Source organism: Homo sapiens, chromosome 13 (assembly GCF_000001405.40).
Source record: "Homo sapiens chromosome 13, GRCh38.p14 Primary Assembly".
NCBI lineage: Eukaryota > Metazoa > Chordata > Mammalia > Primates > Hominidae > Homo > Homo sapiens.
Window position 1 is genome coordinate 53,536,772 of NC_000013.11, and position 27,590 is coordinate 53,564,361.

Below are 27,590 nucleotides of genomic sequence, written 5' to 3' on the forward strand. Positions count from 1 at the left end.
TTTTCATGTTACATCATATGCCTTTAGCCTGAAGAACTTCCTTTAGCATCTATTTTAGTGCAGTAATGTTGACAGCACATGCTCTTAATTTGTTTTATCCAAAATGTCTTTATTTTCTGGGATTCTTGACAAATATTTTTACTAGTTAGAAAATTCTGGTTGGCAAGATTTTGTTTGTTTCAGCTCTTTAAAGATGTGTTACAATCTCTTAATGGCCTCCATGGTTTTCATGAGAAGTCCCTAAGGTAATTTCTATTGATGTACATTTCAGTTCATGTACTATTTCCTTTGTAATATTTATTTCCCTGTTAAGTCCATCCAGTGATTTTCAAATTTCAATATTGTATTTTTTCAGTTCTCACCTTTCCATTTGGTTCTTCTTTATATGTTCTATTTCTTTGCTGGATTTTAAAAAATGTATCATACACTTATTTTACTTTGTTTTATTTAGAAAAGTTCTAACAGTTAATTAGATTAACTGCTATAGCACTGAAATGTGATGTGATAGTATTGTTATCATTAAAATGTAATCATTAACTCATCATTTGGTAGTTCTAGCATTGTGTTCATTTAGGGATTGAGCAAGGTTGATTTTCTTTCGTCTTGAGAATATTTTCCATTTTCTTGGTTCTTTAGACATCAGGTAATTTTGGATTATATCCTAGACATTATGAGTATAAAGTTGTGAATATTCAGGATTCTATTATTTTTTTCCAACTAGTATTGTTGTTTCTCTTCTTCCTCTTCCTCCTCCCCTTCTGAGCAGGCATTTAAAAAAAATCTGGACACAAAGAGAAAACCCAGATTTTCGGGTGGTAGCTTTGCTTTCAGCTCAGAGTTACGTGAGTTGAAATTCTGCTTTAGCTGAAATTCTGCTTTGCTTTGTTCTAAATATTTACAGCCCAGTCCTCAGTCAGAGATGTGGGTAGACACAAATGGGGAATCCCCCTTCTCTCTTTTCTTTCTGAGATTTCATTGCTGTTTTCAACAACCATGTTTCACTTTGCTTCAGTTGTCTGGTTACCTAGGCAACAGAGACTATATTTTTTCAATCAGCATCTCACTGTACCAACTCTACTTTCCTAAGCTAAAAGCCATAAAGATGGGAACTTATTTGTAAATCACCCAGCTTTCTTCCTCTGAGTATGTACTCATGCCAGAATCTGTCTGCTTTTTTTAACTTCTAGTACCTTTATGGAATTGCTTTTTGTATTGCTTCCAGATTTTATAGTTATTTTCTGCAGGAGAAAAATCTGATAAGTTCTTAGACTATCATTTCTGCAAGCTGACTGGCTGACTGGTCATAGGTTTTTGACTGATTCATTTACAGTTCATATTAGAGATTTTCAATATCAGCAAAGATTAATATAATTCAGAGCTCACTCATTCATTAAATATTTTTATGCTCCCATTATGCTTCAGCTATGCTGCTTGAATTTCTGTGTACAGTTGTGAACAATTTGACCCTGGTATCTTCTCTGATGAAAATCAGAAGCTAGTGGAGAAGACAGATATTAAAAGCAATTAAAGTAAAGTATGGTGAGTATTATCATAAGACAAAGTAAATAATAAGTTTCTGTAAACTAACTCTACAGAAAATTATAAAGTCCTTCCTGAAAAAAATAAGATTTAAGCTGAAACCTGAAGAAATCATAGCTTGGCATCAGATAAATGGAATTCAATTTACATATTTGGAAAGTAAATTTGGGCATTGCTAGGAGAATTAGTTCAAGTAAATGATAAGGTAGAGGGCAGGAGTAGAAAAAGAAAAATAGGACATAAGACAAAAATACAGGAGAAGATAATGTCCTGGAAGAGAATGATGATAGTGGGAATGGGGAGATAATTGAGATTTATATGGAATATTTAGAAGGTAGAATTAAGTAAGATCTCGTGTTTACTTCAATAAAGTCAGACAGAGAAGCATTAGGAAAGCCTAGATTTTTGGTCTGAGTCCCTGAAAGGGGGGTGGTATCTTTTATGGAGATGGGGCACCTTAGAGGGGGAATAAATTAAGAAATAAGATTACTAATTCAATTTCAGGCTTTTAAATTTTAGGTACTTGTGTTGTATCCAAATTGAAATATTCAACATGCAATTAGGTATGCATAAGAGAGTTCTTAGCTGAAAACATCATCTTTGTGAATTTATAATGAGGAGAGAATTTCCACTCCACAGAAGAAAAATATTAAAGGAACACTTTCAGCTCTTCCTCCTCACTGACTCCTCTTTTGAGGGAAGTTATTGACTTATCTTACTGATAAATCTTGTAGAAGGAGCTTAGCATGCATGGCTTTGTGCTTTCTGGGTCTGCTCTTGGCAGAGCTCACATGTCTTCAGGACACAGGAGTAGATTTCCATCTGGGCTAGATGCCAGCGGCTAGACCTTATTTTACTCTACCTGTAAGTAGAGGAAAATCATGCCCAATATTGGAGACATTCAAGGAACCCAACCTAGCTGCAGAACTAAAGTTATGGTCTTTGAACAGTTTTGTCAACAAATCAGGCACTTTGATAAGGATTTGCCCTTTTCGTTTCTCTTATTTCTTAGCTGGTTCTAAACTCTACAGTGGAAGATACAGTGGCATTTACTGCCTCTCTCTAATCCCAAAAATTATAACAATATTAAGTGTATGCATATGTATGTATTATATATATGTAAATAATAAAAATATATATGTTCAAGCCCTCATTCAAAGAGTGGTGCATAATAGAGCCTAGAGTTAGGCATAAATGTTAAGCATATATATATATATATACATATATGTATTTGAGACAGGGTCTTGCTCTATTGTCCAGGCCAGAGTGCAATGGTGCTATCACAGCTCACTGCAACCTGGACCTCCTGGGCTCAAGTGTTCCTCCCACCTTAGGCTCCTGGGTAGCTGGAACTATTGGTTTATGCCACCATACCTGCCTAATTAAGTTTTTTTTTTGTAGGGACTAGATCTCACTATATTGCCCAGGCTGGTCTTGAACTCCTGGGCTCAAGCAATCCTCCCACCTCATATATAGATTTTTTAATTTTAAAGAATATACTTATTGTCTGTATGATTTGAAAGATAGACATTAGCACTTTCAAACTTTGTTCCACCTCCTCTTTCCTTTTTATTTTATTTATTTTATTTTTTAATTTTTAAAATTTAAAAATCATATTTTTTTATCAATACATATTATTCTTATATACTTACAGGTGAATTAACTAAAACTGGGGCTGGGGGATATTTTCCCATGTTCACACTGATAGTGAATTACTATCAGTGGACTTGAATTAGTTGACTGTTGCTTTTTTAAAGATTTTTTTTCTGTACTTCACACCATAATGACTCTAAAAAATGTGAATAGTGAAACTTTGCCCTTTGCAAATGTTTTTTGGTCAAAGTGATTGGCTATCCCCTAGCAGAGAAGTCAGTTTGTATGTTCTGTCACTGAATGAGCAGACTAGAGAAATTGAAGAAAATACTTTCAGCTGTTTGTGGAATCACAGAAAACTTTAAGGGTGTGGCTGTGAAGCATACATGATAGACTGTCTCAGTGTAACGTTTGCCTGGTCCATCTAACAGTTCCTATTACCTCCACCTTAGGCCACTGCCTGCATTTGAATGTCTCAGGAGGGTAATCTGAATTTGAGGAGAAGGCCATGGAGATGTGGAAAATTTCCACTAGGATTAAGTGTAAGAGTACCTTGTTAGAGTATGTTATGACTTTTATGCAATTTACTAGACTATCTTTATTGAATGGAAATTGTGTTAAAATGGAAAAGAATATACAATTTATAATAAAATAGTTCAGCCACTACATATGTGATGGTGGTCAAGATATTTGAATGTCCTGAGCTTTAGTTTTCTCCTCCATAAAATGTGGGCAATGCTTTCCATACTGTTACATAAAAGTTGTTGATAGCTAAACATCACTGATCATTAGAGAAATGCAAATCAAAACCACACAATGAGATACCATCTCACACCAGTCAGAATGGCTATTATTAAAAAGTCAAAAAATAACAGATGCTGGTGAGGCTGTGGAGAAAAAGGAACATTTTTACACTGTTGGTGGCAGTGTAAATTAGTCCAACCATTGTGGAAGACAGTGTGGCGATTCCTCAAAGACCTAGGACAGAAATACCATTTGATCCAGCAATCCCATTACTGGGTATATACCCAAAGGAATATAAATTTTTCTATTATAAAGACACATGCACACATATGTTCACTGCAGCACTATTTACAACAGCAAAGACATAGAATAAACCTAAATGCCCATCAGTGATAGACTGGATAAAGATAATGTGGTACATATACAACATGGAATACTAAGCAGCCATAAAAAAGAATGAGATCATGTCCTTTGCAGGGACATGGACAGAACTGGAGGCCATCACCCTCGGTAAACTAATACAGGAACAGAAAACCAAATATCACATGTTCTGGCTTAGAAGTGGGAGCAAAATGATGAGAACACATGGACACATGGTGTGGAGAAAACACACACTGGGGTCATTGGAGGGTGAGGGATGGGAGAAGGGAGAGAATCAGGAAGAAAATAGCTAGTGGATGCTGGGCTTAATACATGAGTGATGGTATGATCTGTGCAGCAAACCACCAATGCACACATTTACCTATGTAACAAACCTGCCCATCATGCACATGTACCCCCGAACTTAAAATAAATGTTGCAAATAAAAAAAAAAGTTTTGATATAGTTTACATGTTGGTATGCAGGTGTCAAAGTTTCTATTCTGTTGTGGACATTCAAACTCAGTTTTTATACTAGCCTGCTTGACAGTCATACCTGCTGAATTTCTCACTGAGTATCCCTTTAGGGTAAATACACCATGATACACACTCAGGAGAGAATTACAAACTCAAAAGACAGAGTGTTTGGTTACATGAAATAGTGATTTGTGGAAGCCATCAAGAATTGACATTGTAGGAAAGCTGCATGTTGCTGGGGTTTAGAGCAGGGTGTCTGAATCCAGTTTTGATGCTGCCTTTATGATTTACTGTTTCTGTGACCTTGCACACATTATTTATTCTCTCTGTGCTGTAGATTCCTTATCTGTAAAATAAGGACAATACTATTACCTCCCCTGTTAACTTGTAAGGAATGAAAGAATTCATATGTGTAAAGCGGTTATATTAGTGCCTGGTACCTTTTAATACTATGTAATTGTTAGAGATGATGATAATGATGATGATGATGATGATGATATTTCTATTAGCTGGTATAGATTTTTTCTTTTGTATCTATTTCAAATGTTAAGCTAGTTTTTTTTTTCAATAAACTAGACCATGTGAGAAGGAAATACGTAAGAGAAACTTGAGTGACTTTTTTATAGAATCCTTAAGTGTATTGGCAGGAGGGATTTGAGAATGAATAAAGGAAATGAAATGCACTGGTACCATGGACAAGTCTGTCCTGACTGGTGGGAAAGAATAGCCGCAAACAACATGATCAGAAATAAAATTGATAGCAGAACTTGGATATTTGAGATGGCTTTAATATTAGTCAAGAAACTCTACAGGGAAGAGAGATAGAGTCTTTGTTTGCTGTAGCTCTCACTACCCCAAAGAGAAGAGCTGGGAAATAAGGTAAAAAGGCTTAAAGGCTTTCCTCCATTCCTAAGGAGTTCAGTTTCTTACTCAGCCTTAGAGTCTTGGGTCTAGTGCAATGCCTGGCCTTGAGACCCAAGGGAAAACCAGTCAGCTGTGCCTGTGGATACAGGCAGCCCAGAGCCAGAGGTGACTCCTGCACAGCTATAAGGACCCTCACGGATTAGATGCTTGCAAGAGCTTTACAGAGCCACAAATCCTCTCCGTGACTTGGAGGCAAGTCAGAAACCTACATAGGTATTAATGAACCAAGACAAACTTCACACTGGCAGGCTAAGTCAGAGGCCAGGGCAGAGAAGCTAGTAGCAGAATTCTGGGAGAGAATAAACATGTTATGGCAATTATTGGTGAATATAAATTGAAGTGGATAATGTTAGACATTACCTAACCTAATTCAAGCACAATCCATGTTAGCTCAAATTGTGAAGACTTTCATTGATTCAGGTCTTAGTCAAAAGATAAGGTATTATATCACTGTAAATTAGCTTCAAATCTTATTTTCTTTTAGATTTGAAAGCAAATGTGAAAAATCTATATATGGGTATTCATATTATTTGGTAGAGGTTTTCTTTTCCGTTTTTTTCTTTTGTTGTTGTTGTTGGATGAACACTAAGCTAAATTAAACAGCTGGAGAAAAATATTTTTTAAAAATCCGCAAGTTAGGTTTCTATGGAGAAAGAACTTGGCTACTTAATAAGTCCATCTCTGGTTAGCTCATTTCCATTTGGAGAGCATTATTCAAGATATCTTTAGGATAAGATGAGAATAGAAGGGATAAGAAAAGCAGTACTCATTGGGGGAGAATAATAGTCTTTATTCTGTCTATTACTTTATCTTTGTTACTCTGGAGTTTCATGAGAACACCAAGGATGAAGAGTTGTAAAAACGTTCTCTGTCAGTGTTGTGGGCAGCATGGGTGGGGCCACTTACTTTACAGTCCTACATGTAGGTCACTTGGTATGCCTGGTGCTTCAGGTGGGTCCTGCTATCTGTGTGAGGTGGAGTAAAGAGAGGCATATTCAAAAGTGGTGGTGCTAGTAGACAGGGTCTATGGCTGGCCCTTGACTTCACTCACCCTTCCCTTGGAGGGGATTGCCAGGCTGTTTTACATAAGGTGTTGGGCAGAAAAGTTCACACCCTCATTCGAAGAGTGGTGCATAATTGAGCCTAGAGTGAGCAAGAACACATGCACACAAATCACTTTATAACAGGAGTCCCACTGTCCACACCACTCAAACATAAATAGAGATTTAGTAACTATAAAATGTAGTGTCACACGCCACAGAAGACATCTTTATATTTGTTGTGTTAAGGGCCATATTATTTTAATCATCGGATCTCCCAGGTTCCTCATCTATAAAATGCATATGATGCTAATAATGACTGACAGTTTCTGTGAGGATTATATGACATAATACATGTTAAAGTGTTAGCCTTGTGCATGGCAATTATAAATTTAAGTAATATTACATTTTGTTCATATTGTTGCTATTTTCATCAGTTTTATTTATAAGAGTAAAAACAGTTGAAACAAGCACTTTCAAAGACATTTTAATAGCATGAGCATATCCTCACAATATTCTAAAGTGAAAATGGCAGCTATGTATTTGATCATAATCTATTCTGAATTCATTAAAGAAAATATACCAAAATGGTAACAATGGTACTTGTGGTATACGGTACAGGTTGAGCATCTCTAATCTGAAAACGTGAAATCCAAAATGCTCCAAAATTTGAAACTTCTGAATGCCTACATGATGCTCAATGGCCATGCTCAAAGAAAATTCTCACTGGAGCATTTTGGATTTCAGATTTTCTGATTAGGGATGCAAAACCAGTAAGTATAATGCAAATATTCCAATTCCCCTCCCCCCAAAAAAAATTGGAATCTGAAACACTTCTGGTCCCAAGCATTGTGGATAAGATATACTCTACATGTAAAGTCACCCCTGCATTGTTTGGCTTTCCATTTGCATTGAATATCTTTTGTCATCTATTATTTGCTATCCATGTGTATCCTTACATTTGAAGTGAGTCTCTTTCAGGAACCATACAAGTGGGTCTAATATTCAGTATTCTTGATTAGCAGTTATTTTTCTTAATCATTTTGAATATATTGTCCCACTATCTACTGTCCTGTAAGGTTTCTGCTGAGAGATTTCATGCTAACTTTATTGAAACTCCCTTATGTGTTATTTGCTTATTTTCTCCTGCTGCTTTCAAGATATTTTCTTTGTCTTTGATTTTTGACAGATTCATTATAATATCTTTTGATGTAATCTTCTTTGGATTGAATCCGATTGGGGATGTTTGGCCTTCCTGTACTCTGTATCTGGATATTTATATTTTTTCCAATATGTGGAAAGTTTTCTGCTATTATCTTTTAAAATAAGCTTTCTATCCCTTTGTCTCTCTATTTTTTCACAAACTCCTATAAATTAAATATTTGCTCTTCTGATGCCCTGCTATTAATACCATAAGCATTATTCATTCCTCTTTATCCTTTTTTATTTTTCTCCTGACTGTATATTTTCAAATAACCTGTCTTCAAGTTCACAGATATTCCTGCTTGATCAATTCTCCTGGTGACATTCTTATTGCATTTTTTATTTGTTTCATTGTTTTTCAGCTCCAGATTTTGTCTGAATTTTTAAAATAATTTAAATCTTTGTTAAATTTCTTATCTTGATCATTTATTGTTTTACTGATTTTATTTTATTATTTCTCCGTATTTTATTGAAATTTTCTGAGCTTCCCTGAAAAAATTATCTTTAAATCTTTGTCAGGCACTTTGCATATCTTCACCTCTTTAGGGCAAGCTATTGGCATATTGTGTTCCTTTGGTGGTGCTGTGTCTCCTTGGTTTTTCATGTTTCTCATTGCCTTATGTTGATCTGTGTACATTTGAAGAAATAGGGATGAATTCCAGTCTTTGTAGACTGGCTTTGTTTAGGAAAGCCCTTCACCAGTCACCCCATCCAGAGATTCAAGGCAGCCTGTCTGGCATGGCCCATAGATGGGCCTGCTGCTAGAGACCTCAGCAAGGCTGTCTTAGTGCCTGGGTCAGAATGTGGGTGGGCCTGGTGCCTGGGTCTATGTTGTAGGTCTAGAGCCTGTATCAACAGAGGTTGGTCTGAAGTCTGGGTCCAAAGGAGCTGACAGTTGCTGGGATGGGGAAGGCACCTGCGGCCACTAGGTGGGTCTAGAGACTGAATTCATGGGGGCTGACCTGGCACTGAGACAGGCTTGGGACTTGAGTCCACAGGGTTGGGCCTGAGTCCTTGCTCTGCAGGGACAGACCTGGAGCCTCCATCCATGGGGGTTGGCCTGGCACTGGGGTAGAATGAACATGAACCCTGGATCTGCTAGAGTAGGCCTGGAGCCTGTGTCCATGGGTGCCAGCCTGCTGTCTGAGGCTAGTGTTGTTGACTGGGGGGAAGGGTACAAAGGGTACAAAGCCTGAGGCTATGCTCTGGGATAGTCTGAAATCTGGGACAGGTCTGAAGCCTGGAGCTTCAGGGATTTGCCTGGGGCTGGTGGACCTGGAGCCTGTATCCAGAGGGACTGGCTTGAAGACTGGATCTGCAAGTGCTGGCCAGATGACTAGAGTTTCTAAGCTGGCTTGATGCTAGGGCAGGCCTGAGGCCTGAGGCCTCGTGGATCAGACAGGTGTTGAGAATATTCTGGAGGCTGGGGCTGCCAGACCATCTTGGCCCTGGGGTAGGCCTAGAAACCCAGAGTCTGAGGAAAAGTCTAGTGCTCATTTCCCTCTCTCCGCTCCATTCTGTATTGCCTGGGATTCGGAGAGAGAAAACTTGGGTAATATAAAACTTTCCTTTCTAACCTCTTCAATTCACCTTTTAAATTTTCTCTGTTACTCACAGGTGTTGTATTCTTTCACCTGGCTTTGTTAGCTCTTGTGAAGTTGTATTTGTATGGGGATAGTTGTTCAAGTTGCTGTTTTGGTGGAAGGATATGGGCTGGGAAGTCCTATTCTACCATCTTGCTGATGTCGGTTTTTGGGATGGGTTTTGAGAAACATGCTAGAAATAAGAACACGAAGTGCAATTCTGATAAGATCTCAGACAGAAATGAGACATGTATTATTGGAAACTGGAGGAAAGGTGATCATTGTTAAAAATTGTTAAAGAGTTTGTCTGAACTGTGTTCTAGTGTTTCGTGAAAGGTAGAACTTGTGAGCAACAAAATTGAGTATCTAGCTGAGGTGGCTTCTTAGCAAATTGTTAAAGGAATAGTTTGGTTCCTCTTGATCTCTTATAGTAAAATGTGAAAGAAAAGAGATGAACTGAGGAAAAAATTGTTAAGCAAAAAGGAACCAGAACATAAAGATTTGGAAAATTCTCAGCCTATTCATACTTCAAAAAATGAGAACATTCATTCTTAAGAGAATACTAAGGATATGGTTGAACATGCATTTGTCTTTTTCTGATATCATATTCCATTTTTATGTGATCTGGTAGAAGAGGCAGGGCTATTATTCCCTACAACATTAAACCACTAGGATAAAGCCAGAGCTTCTCTTTCAATACTATGTTTATTAATTGCAACTAATGCCCAAGCAGCAGATCTCAGATGTTGGAGTATAGTAGGTTTGACACTATTATTATTTATCATTCTAATGTCTTGTGGGTTTTTCATCCCTTCTCATACCGTTTCACTTTGAACTAAAGGTAATCTAAAAGAAGTTGCATAATTTTTCTTAGTACTTCTTTATTTAAAAGGAGCTTCAGGTTGCTACAGTTACTGTGCTTACTCTTCCACCACAACTCACAAAAAGAGTAGTATCATGTTAACATATCACTAACATCTGTACTCCAGTATATTCAAAGTGGTTGTTTTGTCTTTTGGTTACATTTAATAACAACAACAGTTTGAATGTAGATCAATGTCTTATTTTCTTAAATATTATTACTGTTTCTGAGGACACTGAAAAATCTTATATTTATATGAATCCTTTTAAAGACTTACGAATATGTATCAGTGAGGCTTTCTTCACATAATTCTTGGGCTCAACTATAATAATCAACTAAGTGCTTTGAAGATGTATTGTTATTGTGGTCTGTGTATGTGTTTTTATTTTTTCCCCTTCCAAATTTATTTTAGGTTCAGGGGTTTTGTTACATGGGTAAATTGCATGCCACCGGGGTTTGGTGTACAAACTATTTCATCACCCAGGTAATGAACATAGTATATGTCGTAGGTAGTTTTCTGATCCTCACCAACCTCCTCCCACCCTCCATCCTCAAGTGGGACCCAGTGTCTATTTTTCCCTTCTTTGTGTCCATGTGTACTCAATGTTTAGCTTCTACTTATAAGTGAGAATATGCAGTATTTGGTTTTCTTTTCCTGCATTAATTTACTTAGGATAATGGCTTCTAGCTCCAAGTGTGTTGCTGCAAAGGGCATAATTTTGTTTGTTTCTATAGCCGTGTAATATTCCATGGTGTGTATGCACCATATTTTCTTTATCTAGTCCACCATTGATGGGCATCTAGATTGATTCCATATCTTCACTATTATGAAAAGCATTGCAATGAACATATGCATGCATGTGTCTTTATAGTAGAATGATTTATATTCCTTTGAATATGTATCTAGTAATGGGATTGCTGGGTCAAATCATAGTTCTGTTTTAAGTTCTTTGAGAAGCTTCCCAACTGCTTTCAAAAGTGGCTGAACTAATCTACATTCCCGACAACAGTGTAGCAGCATTCCCTCTTCTCTGAAACCTCACCAGATTTTGTTATTTTTTGACTTTTTATAATAGCGATTCTGACTGGTATCTTATTGTGGTTTTAACCTGCATTTCCCTAATGATGAGTGATATTAAGCATTTTTTCACATGCTTGTTGGACACTTATATGTCTTCTTTTGAGGATTATCTGTTCATGTCCTTTGCCCATTTTTAATGTTTTTATCCTTGGTGATTTGCTTAAGTTCTTCATAGATTTTGGATATTAGGCCTTTGTCAGATGCATAGTTTGCAAATATTTTCTCTAATTCTGTAGATTGTTTACTCTGTCAATAGTTTCTTTTGCTGTGTAGAAGCTCTTTAATTTAATTAGATCCCACTTGTCAATTTTTGCTTTAGTTTCAAGTGCTTTTGGTGTCTTCGTCATGAAATCTTTGCCAGTTCCTATGTCCAGAATAGTATTTCTTAGGTTATCTTCTAGAGTTTTTATAGTTTTAAGTTTTACATTTAAGTCTCTAATCTATCTTGAGTTTATTTTTGTATGTAGTGAAAGGAAGGGGTCCAGTTTTAATCTTCTGCATATGGTTAGCCGGTTATCCCAGCACCATTTATTGTATAGGGAGTAATTTCCCCATTGCTTGTTATTTTCGACTTTGTCAAAAATCAAATGGCTGTAGGTGCATGGCTTTCTTTCTGGGCTCTCTAACCTGTTCCATTGGTCTGTGCCTCTGTTTTTGTACCATTACCAGTACCATGCTATTTTGGTTACTGTAGGATTTTAGTATAGTTTGAAGTTGGGTAGTATGATAACTCCAGCTTTGTTCTTTTTTCTTAGGATTCCTTTGGTTATTTGGGCCTTTTTTGGTTCCATATGAATCTTAGAATAGTTTTGTTCTAATTCTGTGTAAAATGATGTTGGTAGTTTGATAGTAATAGTACTGAATCTGTAAATTTGCATTGGGAACTATGGCCACTTTAGTAATATTAATTCTTCCTGCTCATGAGCATGGAATTTTTTTCCATTTGTTTGCATCATCTCTGATTTCTTTCATCACTGTTTTGTAATTCTCGTTGTAGAGAACTTTCACCTCCCTGGTTAGCTGTATTTCTAAGTATTTTATTCTTTTTTGTTGCTATTGTGAATGGGATTTCATTCTTTGTTTGATTCTCAGCTCGTACTTTACTGGTGTATAGAAATGATACTGATTTTTATATATTGATTTTGTATCCTGAAACTGGTGAATTTGTTTGTCAACTCTATGAGCCTTTGGGCAGGGACTATGGGGTTTTCTAGGTATAGAATTATATTATCTGCAAACAGAAATAGTTTGATTTTCTCTCTTCCTATTTAAATGCCTTTGATTTCTTTCTCTTGCCTGATTGCTGTGGCTAGGACTTCAAGTACTATATTCAACAGAAGTGGTGAGAGTGGGCATCCTTTTCTTGCTTCATTCTCAAGTGGAATAGTTCTAGCTTTTCCCATTCAGTATGAGTAAGATAGAACACTGTTACTGAGATATGTTCCCTCAGATGAAACATACTTTAAATCAACCGTGAACAAAAAGGACAAACAAGGGCATTACCTAATGATAAAAGGTTCAATTAAACAAGAAGACTCAACTATCCTAAATATATATGCACCCAACACTGGAACACCCAGAGCCATAAAACAAGTTTTCAGAAACCTACAAAGTTGCTTAGATAACCACACAATAAGAGTGGAAGACTTCAACACCTCACTAACAGTAATTGACAGATCATTGAGGCAGAAAACCAGCAAAAGTATTCAGGATCTAAACTTGACTCTTGATCAAATAGACCTAACAGACATCTACAGGACCCTCCACCCAATAAAAACAGAATATGCCATTCTTTTCGTCTGAGCATGAACCTTGATTTGAAAAAGAGATCAGCCATGCTACTCATGGGCTCAGCCATCTCAATAGAAGACAGGAATAAACATGGAATTATGTCAGTTAAACACTGCCAACTTGAACTAAAGGGGACAGAGAATGTTAGATGAGATAAAAGATAGCTGCTGGACTTGGATTCTATAGCACCAGACCATAGAACTCCTCAGATATGAACATGCCTGTCTCAACCATTACATTTTGGAAGAACATAACATGTCTGGTTTCACCAATTCACAGCTGGAGAGAAATTTTGCTTCAGGATAAATCTTTACATCGATATTAACACATACCTGCAAATTAAGATAATATTTAGTTGAGCCTTCAGACCTTAGATTTTAGAGTTGATGCTGGAATGAATTAAGACTAAGACTTCTGGGGCTGTTGAGATAGCCTCACATGATGTATTTTGTATATAAGAAGCATGCAGATTTATTTGAAGGCCAAGGATGGAGTGTTATAGACTGAATGTTTATTTTCCCCCAAAATTCAAATGGTGACACCCACAGGTGTAATCTTTGAGAAGTCATGAGTGTGAGCCTTCAGGATGGGATTAGAGCCCTTACAAGAAGAGACACCAGAGAGCTTGCACTCTCTCACATCATCACAGAGGTCATGTGAGGACACAGTGAGAAGACAGCCACATGCAACACAAAGAGACAGCCCTCACCAGAAACCAAATTACATGGACCTCGATTATGAACTTCTAGCCCCAGAACTGTAAGGAAGTGAATTTTCATTTAAGTCACTTAGTTTATGGTATTTTTGTTATGGTAGCTTAAGCTGACTAAAACAGATAGTCAAGACAGGATTCCTATTCTTAAATGCTTAGAATATATTGGCATGCTGTGACACATACAGAAAGTATCTAGAGAGTAATATATAAGAGTTAACACACAGATTTGAATTGAGAGAGATAGAAAGAAAAAACAGTGGTATGAATGCATGAGGCTGAAAAAAGCTTATTCTGTCTACTGAGCTAGAAGGTTTAAATGCTTCAAGATAAGTGGAAGATTCGTGCTGGAATTATTTGCAATTACTAATATCATGGGAATAATATAGTTTGAAATATATTAATGTACTTTTCTTATTTATACTTCCTTGTATTAGGCTGTCCCTTGATTCAGCCAGATATATCCATTGCCTCAGGAAGGATTTAGGCAGAAATGTTAGGGCTAGAAAACAAAGATAATTTTTTTACTATTCAAGTTTGGACTACAAATGAAGGGTTTTCTCCCTGTGGTGAGAAAGTACGCCAGGATTCACTAACAGAAAAAGATTTTTCTGAATTCCAGAAATTTCCCCCTTTTATTTCCAGAGGCAACCCAAGGAGACTTCGATCACAGAGTTTGCTTTAAGCTATAGTATAGAAAGCGTATGACCAATGCCAAGCTATTAATAATAGAAATGAGAAGCATGTGGCAAAGAGGATAATAGAAACTAGATGAGGAGTGGGGAAGGAAGAGGTGCACCAGAAGAGGACGGACTAGAGTGAGGTGACTCCTGAGTCCCTTGTGTGTAACTAGAATCTACACTCCTAGGTCTCAGCCACAAGATAATATAAATCTGGTCAAATCCCAGATTATTCTCTCTTTTGCTTCCAATGTTGCCCAAGAGGAATAGAGAGAGCAAGAGCATAGAGAAAGGGATGTCTAGATAGACCCACCTGTAAAAGGATCATAAGCCACCAAGGCTTGCACAGAGTTTGCAAGCTACCCAAGGGTTCTCATGTGCATGGCTTTGAGAATAGAGTAGGGGGTTTAGGGAGGTTTCAAGAGGACCAGGGACCAGCAGAGAGCCTAAGTGGCACATGTGTGAGACTGTGGGCCTTAGCAGCAGGTCAAGCAAAGTGCCTACCAAGACTAGGTAAGATTAATTGCTATGTGGGCTGATATCAGGACAGGGAAGGCAGGGTTCATACTGGATCTATACATTAGTAGGCATCAGTGCAAGCTTCTCACAATAAAAGTGGACCAAACTCATGGTAGGGGAGAATAGTCAAGACTCAAACCAAAGCTACATCACTATGAGGTGTCACAATTTCCCCAGTACCAATGTTATGGGTAAAGATATAATGAAGAGAAAACCCTGGTGAGAAGGGGTGAATGGCTCTCATGGGGATTTTAAGTTTCAAATTGGTAGATGATGTAACCATTAGATCAGAGGTTATCAACTTTGGTTGCACATTGGATTCACCTGGGAAGCATTTAAAATTCCTTAAAGCTAAGGCCAATTAACTTACAATCTCCGAAGTTGGCATCCTGGCATTCTTACCTTTGAGAATTCTTCATATGATTAAAAAGTATAGCCAGATTCTAGAACCACTGCAACAAGAAAAAAGAAACTTGAAGAATACTTTTAAATTGGATGTTATCTTTAATTGACCAGCTTAGTTTACTATATTTTCCCCTCATTAATGAAATTCTTAGATATTCCAGAGCAGGATGATATTACTTATAAGGAAAAAAGACAGTTTTCAAAACAATATTTATATCTGTATTGAAATATTTTCAGCTCTGTTCTACACAATAATAATAAGAACTAATATACACTTTCAATTTGCAGGATGTTTGTCTAAGTGTTTTGTCCATATTTTCCTTTAATACTTATGACAATTTAGGAATACTAAATTGTAAATGCTATTAATAATCCTCCTTTATATCAGAAAACTGGCACAAAGAGGTTAAGGAACTTTCTAGTTTCACCTAGAGCAAGTATTCACACAGAAACAGGCTGCCTTCAAAGCTAGTTCTTTACCTCTGCAGTGGCTTCCTGGCATCACTCAAACATTGCCTTTCCTCTCCCAAGGCCCCTGCTGCATGGTGGAAAGATGCTTTACCCTCAATTTATAAAAAGGTCTTACAATTTTCACAAATGTTGCATGGCTTTCTTTTTCTTTCTTTCTTTCTTTTCTTTTTTTTTTTTTTTTTGAGTTGGAGTCTTGCTCTGTTGCCTAGGCTGGAGGGCAGTGGCATGATCTCGGCTCACTGCAACCTCTGCTGCCCGGGTTCAAGCAATTCTCCTGCCTCAGCCTCCTGAGTAGCTGGGACTACAGGTGCCCGCCACCACACCTGGCTAATTTTTGTATTTTCAGTAGAGATGGGGTTTCACCATGTTGGCCAGGCTGGTCTCAAACCCCTGACCTTGTGATCTGCCAGCCTCAGCCTCCCAGAGTGCTGGGATTACAGGCGTGAGCCACTGTGCCTGGCCAAAATCAAAATGTATTTCTAATAACTTTCTGATATGGTTTGGCTGTGTCCCTACCCAAATCTCATCTTGAATTTTAGTTCTCATAATCCCCACATGCTGCAGGAGGAACTTGGTGGGAGGTAATTGTGGGAGCCCCACACTGTTATCATGATAGTGAGTGAGTTCTCATGAGATCTGATGGTTTTATAAGGGGTTTTCCCCCTTTTGCTCAGCACTTCTCCTTGCTGCCGCCACGTGAAGAAGAATGTGTTTGCTTCCCCTTCTGCTGTGACTGTAAGTTTCCTGAGGCCCCCCAAGCCATGCTGAACTATGAGTCAATTAAATCTCTTTCCTTTGAAAATTACCTAGTCTTTGGGTATGTCTTTATTAGCAGTGTGAAAACAGACTAATACTCTTGCCTTTGGTTATAACAACATCTAAAAGTTGGTCCAGGTTCTGGAACAAACTTTTGCATACCCTGTTCTGGTCATCAATTTTATTTTTGCTAATATTTTCCCTTTTTTCTGAATGTTTCTCACTATTCTTAGCCTGTTGACTTTACCTTTAATAGGACACTCAATTCAAACACTACCTCTTTCTTGAAGCCTTTTCTAATTCTTCTAAGGTTATATCTCTTTGCTGTGTTGAATCTCACAACAAACTCTGCTCCATTTTCCTTTACCACATTCCAAAACCAGCCCATATTATGGAACCAATCGTGTGCTGCATAATGATGATTTGGTCAATGACTGATTGCATATGCAACAGTAGTCCTATAAGATTATAATATCATACTTTCACTGTGTCTTTTCTATATTTACATACACAGTACCTACCATTGTGTTACAGTTGCCAACAGTATTTAGTACAGTAATATGCTGTACAGGTTTGTAGCCTAAAAGCAATAGGCTATACCATTCAGGCTAGTTGTGTAGGAGGCTATACCATCCAGATGTGTATAAGTGCATTCTATGATGTTCACACAAGGACAAAATCGCCTAAAGAGGCATTTCTCAGAATGTATTTCTGTCATTAAGTGACTCATGACAACATATAATATTACCTATTACAACATATCTCCCCATTTCTTTTTCTAAGTTCTTCTAGTATCTGTTCCTTTGGGCAAGAACTGTCTTATTTACCACTGTATGTCTTGAATTATTAGCACATCATTTTCTTCATGCTCAAAACCATGCATTTTAATAGAATTTCATGCAAATTGTCACAACTCAAATCTAACATATACATAGGAAAATGGTTCCCCTCAAAATCAATACATTCTACAAATATAAAGAAAATAAAGAGTTTCAAGTAGAATATATTGAATAGTAACCTCTAAATAGAAAAAGTATAAGGCAAATAAGTGAAAGTATTTCTATTTTCATTTCTAGAATAATTGAGGTATCTACAGTTATTTAAAACTTGTGTATCTCTCAAACTAACATGGCTAAGACTATTTGTTTAAAGCTGCCATTTGGGAAAAGACAATTTTACTTTAAGTTGCTTGTCCTTCCATATTCTCATGACTTGTTCTTTTGGATTTCACATTCATCACTGTAGAATTTTACAAGTGGATAAATACATCTGAAAAAAACTTAGTGATAAATAGAAGTATTTGTTTTTAAAAAATTAAAGGGTAGGGCCAGGCGTGGTGGCTCACGCCTGTAATCCCAGCACTTTGAGAGGCCAAGGTGGGCAGATCACGAAGTCAGGAGATGGAGACCATCTTGGCTAACACGGTGAAACCCCGTGTCTACTAAAAAATACAAAAAAATTAGCCGGGCTTGGTGGCGGGTGCCTGTAGTCCCAGCTACTTGGGAGGCCGAGGCAGGAGAATGGTGTGAACCTGGTGGGGCAGAGGTGGCAGTGAGCCAAGATTGCACCACTGGACTCTAGCCTGGGCGACAGAGCAAGACTCCTTCTCAAAAAAAAAAAAAAATTAAAGTTTGTATCTTTAACTTAACTGTTATTTTACTTACTACTGGCATAGATTTGTTTGTCCACGAAATTTTTGTATCAGCTTTGCTTTGGGCACAAATACTACACCTTGTGATTTCTAAATACCCTGTTACCCAAGCGGTGGGATCCAATTATTCCCTTTTGATTTTACGTTTTCTGGTTCTTTGCTACCTTAAACAAGTAACAAGAAAGAATACATTTTTATTTTCTTTTACTTTACCTTTACCTGTGGCTTTTGAAATTAATGTGAAAAAGATATCAGGCTTAACAGTAATTTCTCTGGCTGTTGTGCTTTTTAAATGGATAAAGTTATATTGAACCAATTGGCACTGAACTGGCTGGGAAAGAACACATTTCAAATGTAATATTTACATGAACTGACAACTATCTAGTAAAAAGACATATCGAAGGTTGCAATTAGAAGAAACAAAATTTTCTTTATGCCTTATGGTACAGGCCAAAAATAAATTATTTTCAATTCTGCAAATATCCACAACACTTTAAACATTTTTAATCTTCCTCCAAATTCTTCTTGTACTACTGATGTGGGTTTCAGAGATAACTATGCTAAAAAGAAGTTTGAGACATATTTGCCAACTCTCTGAGGAGGACGAGGACTCAGTGGTATATTTTGAATTCTAGTTCAATTACTTTATGATAAGAGATTTTCTTTATTCACAAATGAATGCTGCTAGTTGAAGGTAGAGTTCAGCTGTTTATATACGAACATGCAGCAATTATGATGAAACAAACTCATTCTAAAACTCCGTCGTAACTATGGAAACCAGAATTAAATGAATTCTATTAGAAATACAAAAAGCCACCCCAGCAGGATAGAGTAAATATTATCTCTTATTGATTTATGAAGGTTCCAGATGATGAAAAGTGGTTAATATATTTCTGTCATGAAACACATTTGTTAGGGTTTCTTTTTATTGATAGAGCCATTGTCTATTTAAATAATGTCAGCCAGATATCATTAATTTTTACATCTTTTTTCAGTCACTTTGCCTTCATTACAAGAAGCTATCAGCTTTTCTATTATATTCTGTATTTTATTTTGGGGTAACAAGGAGAGCTTGACTAAAGAACCATTTCTGATTATGTTTGGCTAAAATATGGATTGACCAAAGAATGTTAGTATAAATGGGCTGCACATTTATTTTGAGGGAGAATTAGTTGATTTTAATATTTAATACACTAGCATTTGGACAAAACTGTACAATTCACTTGGCTTCAGGTGGCTGGTGCTTGTAGTGGGATTTGTTGAAAACAGGAAAATTAAACTTTTGGTAATTTGTTCTTAAAGTGGACTAATTTAAAATTCGATTCAAGTAATAATGCGAGGCTAAAATGAAAGAGCATTATGTAGCAAGATTAGAGTTGTTAATGTCCCAGAAGGTTTGGTGTGCAGGTGTCAGTGCAGCTCTCTGCATGTAAAATGCCAGCATGTACTGTACCCACTTCTACCCTTTCCGTAAAATCAACTCAACACTTTGCATCTTGATTAAAATGAAAAGGTCACTCTGACTTTTCTCCTTCAAAATATTGACAGTAGTCCTGAGAACTGAGTATCTACAAACCAGGATGAAGAAGATAAGACATACACTAGGCATTGGCCTTGGAATCTTTAGATCTTTGGGTTTCATCATATGCATTTCCTCATGACTGTTTCTGATTACTTTATGTCTCAGTGGAAATGCTGTTGCAGTGAGTTAGGAAATGTGTTTTTCTAAGACGACCATTCTTAGTCACAGAAACAAAACAGAAAAGTATGAAAGATCAAGGGCTTCAAAATCCTTAAATAATTTCCTGTTCTCGTGTTTCCTTACACTCCAAAAATATGGAATTGTTAGGTTAAATTTTGTGCATTATATATTGTAAGAATTGAGGTTTATTTAGGTTGTATATTCGCAGTTTTATTTCGGGCTAGTTTTGTCCTGTAATTCTACATATGAAAATTTCCGAAATAAACTATAGTCAACCCAAGCTCTTGCCTAAGAAAGTAAGTAATAGAAGAACCATAGGCTTGCCTTGCTGTGGTTCAGGTGTGTTGTTTCTTGAAAGTCTCCGTGTTTTACCAGGGCCTGGGTCCAGTGTTGAAGTAGCCTCCTAAATGCCATTGCAATCTTACCCTTTTTGCCTGCAGCTCTGAGGATCCTGAAGCTTCAAGGTTTTATAGGCATTTTTATTACATCTCACAGCATTCCCATGTCAGGTTGACAGTCTGCTTTGAATAACAACATATGAGAATTGGAGGGGATTTCAGGGATCACCTCATCTAAGCGGCTCATTTTGCAGATAAGAAATTTAGACTCAGAAGAGTGAAGTGAATTGCTCAGGGTCACACAGCTCATTAACAACACAGCTGGAATAAGACCTTGGTTTCCCAACTTCTAATCCAGGGCTCTTTCCATTGTACTGCACAACCTCATGTTTTCTCTTATGTCTGAAGGAAGGCACTTTCAGCTCTTCCTTAACATATAAAGCCACAGACAGAAGGTAGGATTAGCCATTCTCAACCGAATGCTCCATCCATTACTGCCCATTATACATCTTCTCAGTTCTAAAGGAAAAAAAAATAGCCTGAACATTCTGCTTTTATATTCATTATCTACTCTGTGCTGTTAGTTGCTTCGTTTTTTGGTATTGCTTTTACTGATTAACTTGGTCTCTGCGATATAAAATGGTGAAAGGCATTATCCTGGGTAAATGTGATGTTATTAATGTGTTTTATTCTAGTTATGGGTCATTATTTCCGATAGATGTAATCGTCCCAGCGCTGAGACCTAGCAGGTGGTCTCACTAGAAGTTATAACGGTTTTCTTAATGGTCTGATAAGAATGTCATTTGCAGGGCAGCAAGGGCAGAGAGAAATTGGTCCCAGAGCTAGCTTGCTTCTGCACTCATTCCCAAGCTTGAGCAAGCAAAAGTAAATACATATTTTGTTACCAATCAGCTGGGTATTTTTTTCTGCCAATTCATTTTCGGTAAAAGTGATGAAGACCCATGTATATTTATTTTCTATTTACAGCCTGCCCCGCAATAATACTGCTAATGACCCTACAATGCTTTGCTTTTCTAATTCTTAGAGGAAACAGTCCTTATTGACTCCTGAGAGGAACCAACATTCATTCAAGCAATGAGATATGATGAAATCCAGTTGACCAGGCAAAACATAGAGCCTACTTGGGATGGAGAAATCAACAGAGAATTTTTCCATTAGAGGTAGCTCATTGGTGAGAATGTATGATATCACTATGATGGGAGAAATGGAAATTGTGTATTTAAATGTTTGTATTCATACTTTAGTATAGGTAAGAGGCATGCACACCAGAAATTATTACATGGTTAAGATGATGATGTATATTTTGATTGTTCTTTCAAATTTTTCCTTGCACAGAGCATAACCACAATTTATTTAATGTATGATTAAAATCATTAATACTCTGATGAAACAAACTATCTAAATTGAGAAAAGTGTTTTCCTATATTAAGAATATTTCTTGCACATATCCTAATTCTTGGTCTACTTAAGCCATGCACGTCTCTCTCTCTATGTCACTCTCTCTCTCTCTCTCTCTCTCTGTGTGTGTGTGTGTGTGTGTGTGTGTGTGTGTGAGAGAAAGAGAGAGAGAGAGAAGGAGGTAGACTGTCCATGGGCATATGTCCTGAGCCTTCGTTAATTTAATTAGTATAGCTGCCATAAATCTCTAAGTTAGTAATTTATATACTTCACTGATTCTTCATTGCTATTGTCATATTTCATCAGTTCTAAGATGAATGTGTTTTCCCTCATATTTAACTCCTCTGAAATCAAGAACATTTTCCAGCTAATGGTGTCTGGGGACAGTTTTGCCATGATTGTCATTGCCTATCCATATTTGAATGTATTGGCATAACTGAAAAAGTGTAACTCCTTGACATGTTAATCAACACATCATTTAAGAACTATTTGAAAAAGGAATGTGAGATTGCTATTCTGAAACTCTTCTAAGAATGCACCAATATGAAATCTTGAATAATGTATACAAATAGCTTGGAGAAAATCCTGAAAAAAATAGCAGAATGCTCTTTTAGGAAGTGCTGCATCCATGTTCTTGGCTGAGTAAAAAATGTAGTTTGGAAGAATTGATTTCTGAATACCAAGAAGTTTTGCAAAACCTTTAAATATTTATTTAATTTATACTTCCCTTTTCAATGTATAAACAAGAACACTACATGGAGGGAGGAAAGCCAAACCTAATGTGTTTTTAAATGCTCTTTCAATACATTTAAAACAAAAATCTCAAAGGACAGTAAAATGTAGTTTACTTGGCATTTATTTTATTATTTGTGGTAGGTAAATAATAATACATCGTATAAATCAATGGTATTTTAGATTCAATAAAATATAGCCTTTAGTCATCATATCATAGAACTAAATACACCTAAAGCCAGGAGAGATTTAGAGAACTAGTTTAACTTCTCCATTTAATATTTGAGGAAGTAAGACGCAAAGAAATTAAATGAGTAGCCTGCGATTACACAGCTCCCTGATGTATGATGTTGACACCGAGGTTATTTCAGAGGTCACCACTAACAACTGTTATGAATGAAGTTTATTTACTTTTAATAAAATGCTATCTTTTCCCATACAGTGAGCATACTTCTTCCTTAATATAAGAGTACTGTAGGCCGGGCGCGGTGGCTCACACCTGTAATCCCAGCACTTTGGGAGGCCGAGGCGGGTGGATCATGAGGTCAGGAAATCGAGACCATCCTGGCTAACAAGGTGAAACCCCGTCTCTACTAAAAATACAAAAAATTAGCCGGGCGCGGTGGCGGGCGCCTGTAGTCCCAGCTACTCGGGAGGCTGAGGCAGGAGAATGGCGTGAACCCGGGAAGCGGAGCTTGCAGTGAGCCGAGATTGCGCCACTGCAGTCCGCAGTCCGGCCTGGGCGACAGAGCGAGACTCCGTCTCAAAAAAAAAAAAAAAAAAAAAAAAAAAAAGAGTACTGTATGATCAAACAAAGAAAGGGATAAAGTATTTTTCATATTTGGGAACTTCCCAGGAGGTATAAAATTATGGCTTTTTGACCAACATATTCAAAGTACTTTGGAGTTTAGTGGTGGTTTCCTAATATTTCAGGAACTATTATTTTAGGGGAAAATGAATAGCATTTGTTTAACATCTAGATAATTCTAGATAAACAACAGGGCCAATAATCAGTGGCTCTTAGCATAAAATAATAAAGTTTAACTTATTTTACACACTGTTATCTTGTATTTTTTAGTATTATTGTAGGCACCACCAAAATTATGTGAGTTTTAACTTTTACCTTGCATCAAAATTTCTGTCAGGAAATTTCAGAATTTTCAAGAAGTTTTAGAATTTACAGGAACACCAACATTTTGTTTTTTAAAGTTACTTTAAATTGTATTAAACCAATACACTATAGATAATTTTGAAGTAAAAATATATAAAAGCCTTATAATGAAAAATAACAGCCTCTTTTTCTGTACCCTGAACTTCACTTGTATTTCTTTTTTCACCATGTGTAATGTATTATCTTCTTGAGTCCAACACTGATTACTTCCAGACATCTCCCTTGACACTTCTAAATGATATATATCAAGGAATAGAGTAAGACATGACTTCTTTCTTATACAACCATATGTTTCTTAAACAGCTTTATTAAGGTGTAATTGACCTACAATAAACGGTACAAAATTTAAGTGTTCAATTCCATAAGTTTTGGCAGATGTGCTGACTTGAAAAACCATCATTACTGTGAAGACAAGGTTCATATTATTCCCACTAAAAGTTTCTTTGTGCCCCTCTGTCATCTCCCTCCCACTTCTCCCTGCAACTTCCTCCACCACCCCAAGCAAACTGATTTACTTTCTATCACTATAGGTTACTTGATATTTTCCTGAATTTTATGTAAATGGAAACATATAGTAGCTATTTTTTCTGTTTTTTCCCAAATGGCATAATATTTATGAGACTTATCTGTTTTTGCACATAATAGTACTTTATTCCTATTTGTTGCTGAGCAGTATTCCATTTTAGGGATAACTATAGTTTGTTAATCTATTTATGTGTTGAACATTTTGGTTGTTTGTAGTTTTTGGCCATTGCCAATTAAGTTGTTAATATTTGTATATAGTCTTTTTATGAAAATATGCTTTCACTTATCTGGGGTAAATATATGAGTGGAACAATTTGGTCATATGGTAGCAGTATGTTTAACTCTTTAAGAAACTGACAAACTGCTTTTCAAAATGGGGCTTATAGTACTTTACACTCCTATCTCCAGTGTGTGAGAGTCCAAGTCACTTTTTGCTCTTACTAACATTACAAAATATTAATCTTTTAAAAAATGTTAGACATTCTAATATGTGTGTAGATATATTTAATTGTGGGTTTTATTTTCCTTTTATTTAATAACTAATAATTTTAAGCAGAGACAATATGATGAGGTGCATGAGACATTAACTTTGGACATAAAATTTAAAGGGATACCAAAAAATTCAGTCATCATCATAAATCATATTCTAGTATAATGTTTTTTAAAAAATTACTGCAAAATACTCACAATAAACAAAATATTAAATTTTAAATATAGTATTAATATTACTGATTTGTTCATTTCAGGTACCAATATGGCTTGAACTACACTGATGTTAGAAATCTTTTCATGTACTTCTTTGAGCTCCATATACTCTCTTTATGAAGCACCTGTTCAAATCTTTTGCTCTTGTTTTTATTGGATTATTATTTTTTCTTATTATTGAATTTTGAGAATTATTGGTGATGTGCAAGTATTTTCTCCCAGTCTGAGATTTATGTTTTCTTTCTCTGAACAGTGCCTTTCAAAGAGGACTTTCTTAATTTTAATGAAATAAAATTGCCAATTTTATTGTTTTTTTAAAAAGTTTTATGAATTGTGCTTTTGGTGTTGTTGCAAAGGAAGCCGTGTTTAACAAAAAATCTTAAATATTTTCTACTATTTTTTTTCTATAGTAAGTTTTATAGCTTTAGGTTTTACAATTAGGTATATGATCCATTTTGAGAGTTAATATTTATGTGGCTCAAAGTTCTTCCTTCCTCTCCCCATCTCTCCTCCTCTTTGTCTTCTTCTTTTTGGTATATGGCTATCCAATTGTTCCAGTAGCATTTGTTGAAAAGACTATCCTTTATTGATTGATTGCTTTTGAAAATTTGTCTTCTCTCACAGAATTTTATGATTCTCTTTCAAAAACATTTTGTTTACTTAAGCCTCATTATTATTCCATGTGAATTTTGGAATCATTTTCAATTTCTACAGATAAAGCTGCTCACTTTTGATTGAGCTTGTGCTGAATCTACAGATTAACTGGGAAAAAAATCTCTTGTCTATAACGAGTTTTCTGATTCATGAGCATGGTTTATCTTTCCATTTATATGGGTGTTCTTTAGTTCCTCTAAGGAATGTCTTGTACTTTTCAGTGTACAAGTCTTCAACATCTTTTGCCAGAGTTATCCCTATAAATTTAATACTGTTTGATGTCATCATAAATTATGTGTTTTATAACTCCAATTTCTGATTGTTTGTTGCTAGAATATAGGAATGCAATTGACTGTTGTTGCTAGAATATAGGAATGCAATTGACTGTTTTATATTATCTCGGATCCTGTAATCTTGCTAAACTTAATAGTTCTAGTACTTTTAAAATAAAGTTCATATAATTGTTTTTTCCATAGATAGTCATGTTGTCTTCAAATAAGAAACACTTGGCTGGGCGTGGTGGCTCATGCCTGTAATCCCAACACTTTGGGAGGCTGAGGTGGACAGATCACCTATGGTCAGGAGTTTGAGACCAGCCTGACAACATGGTGAAACCTCGTCTCTACTAAAAATATAAAATTAGCCAGGCAAGGTGGTGCATGCCTGTAATCCCAGCTACTCAGGAGTCTGAGGCAGGAGAATTGCTTGAATCTGGGATGTGGAGGTTGCAATGAACTGAGATTGTGCCATTGCACTCCAGCCTGGGCAACAAGCGTGAAACTCCGTCTCAAAAAACAAAAAACACTTTATTTCTTCCTTTCCATTAAGGATGTTTTTAAAACTTCTTTTTGCTTGACCCATTGTGGTGGCTAGAACCTATGGAAAAACATTGAATAAATGTGATAAGAGTGAACATTCTTGTCTTATTAAGGCTCTTAGAGAAAAGTTATTCATGCTTTCATCATTAAATATGCTGTTAGTTATAGGTTTTTGGTGATTCCTACTGTTCTAGTTTGCTAAGATTTTCTGATGAGAAATACACTTTGGATTTTGTTAAATTATTATTGTTTGCATTTATTGAGATAATCATATACTTTTCATTTTTAGTTTGTTAATATGGTCGATTACGTTGACTGATCTTTTTTTTGATGTAGGTTTTATTTTTATTATACTTTAAGTTTTAGGGTACATGTACACAACGTGCAGGTTTGTTACATATGTATACGTGTGCCATGTTGGTGGGCTGCACCCGTTAACTTGTCATGGAACATTGGGTATATCTCCTAATGCTATCCCTCCCCCCTTCCCCCCACCCCACAACAGGCCCCAGTGTGTGATGTTCCCTTTCCTGTAAGACATTAAGCTTATCTTCCATTCCTGGGATAAAATCTACTTGGTTGTAATGTATTGTCTTTTCTACATATTGTTATATTATATTGGATTTTTAAAAAAATTTAAATAGTTTTTACATCTATATTCATAAGAGTTAAAGACCTATAGGTTTCTTTTAATGTCTTCTATGGTTTGGATATGGTTTGTCCCCACCAAAACTCATGTTGAAATTTGATCTTCCATGTGGCAGCATTGGGAAGTGAGGCTCAGTGGAAGATGTTTGGGTCATGGGACAGATCCCCAAGGTGGAGGTTGGGGGAGGTGGTGGTGAGTGAGATTTTGCTGTCATGGAAATTAATTAGTTCCCAAGAGCATAGATTGTTGGAGTCTGACTTCCTTGCTTAATTTCTCTTTCTTGCTTCCTTTTCTTACCACGTGATCTCTTTGCAAATATCCACTTCCACTCTGACCTTCGCTGCCATGTTTTGATACAGCACACGACCCTTACTAGAAGCTTACTGATGCCAACACCATGCTTCTTGAACTTCCCAACCTGCATAACGATGATCTAAATAAACTTATCTTTATAAATTACCCAGCCTTAGCTATTATTTTATAACAA

At 36.4% G+C, this 27,590-nt stretch overlaps 1 long non-coding RNA gene across 2 annotated transcripts; it reads left to right on the forward strand.

Moving 5' to 3' along the window:
* Positions 1-217: 217 nt before the first annotated feature.
* Positions 218-27,590, forward strand: LOC105370210 (uncharacterized). 2 transcript variants are annotated; one of them, XR_001749881.1, is made up of 3 exons: positions 218-1,539; positions 21,476-21,611; positions 27,463-27,590. It is a non-coding gene; the product is annotated as an uncharacterized LOC105370210 (long non-coding RNA). The 2 variants fall into 2 exon arrangements; XR_941972.2 differs by lacking the exon at positions 218-1,539 and adding an exon at positions 19,189-19,221.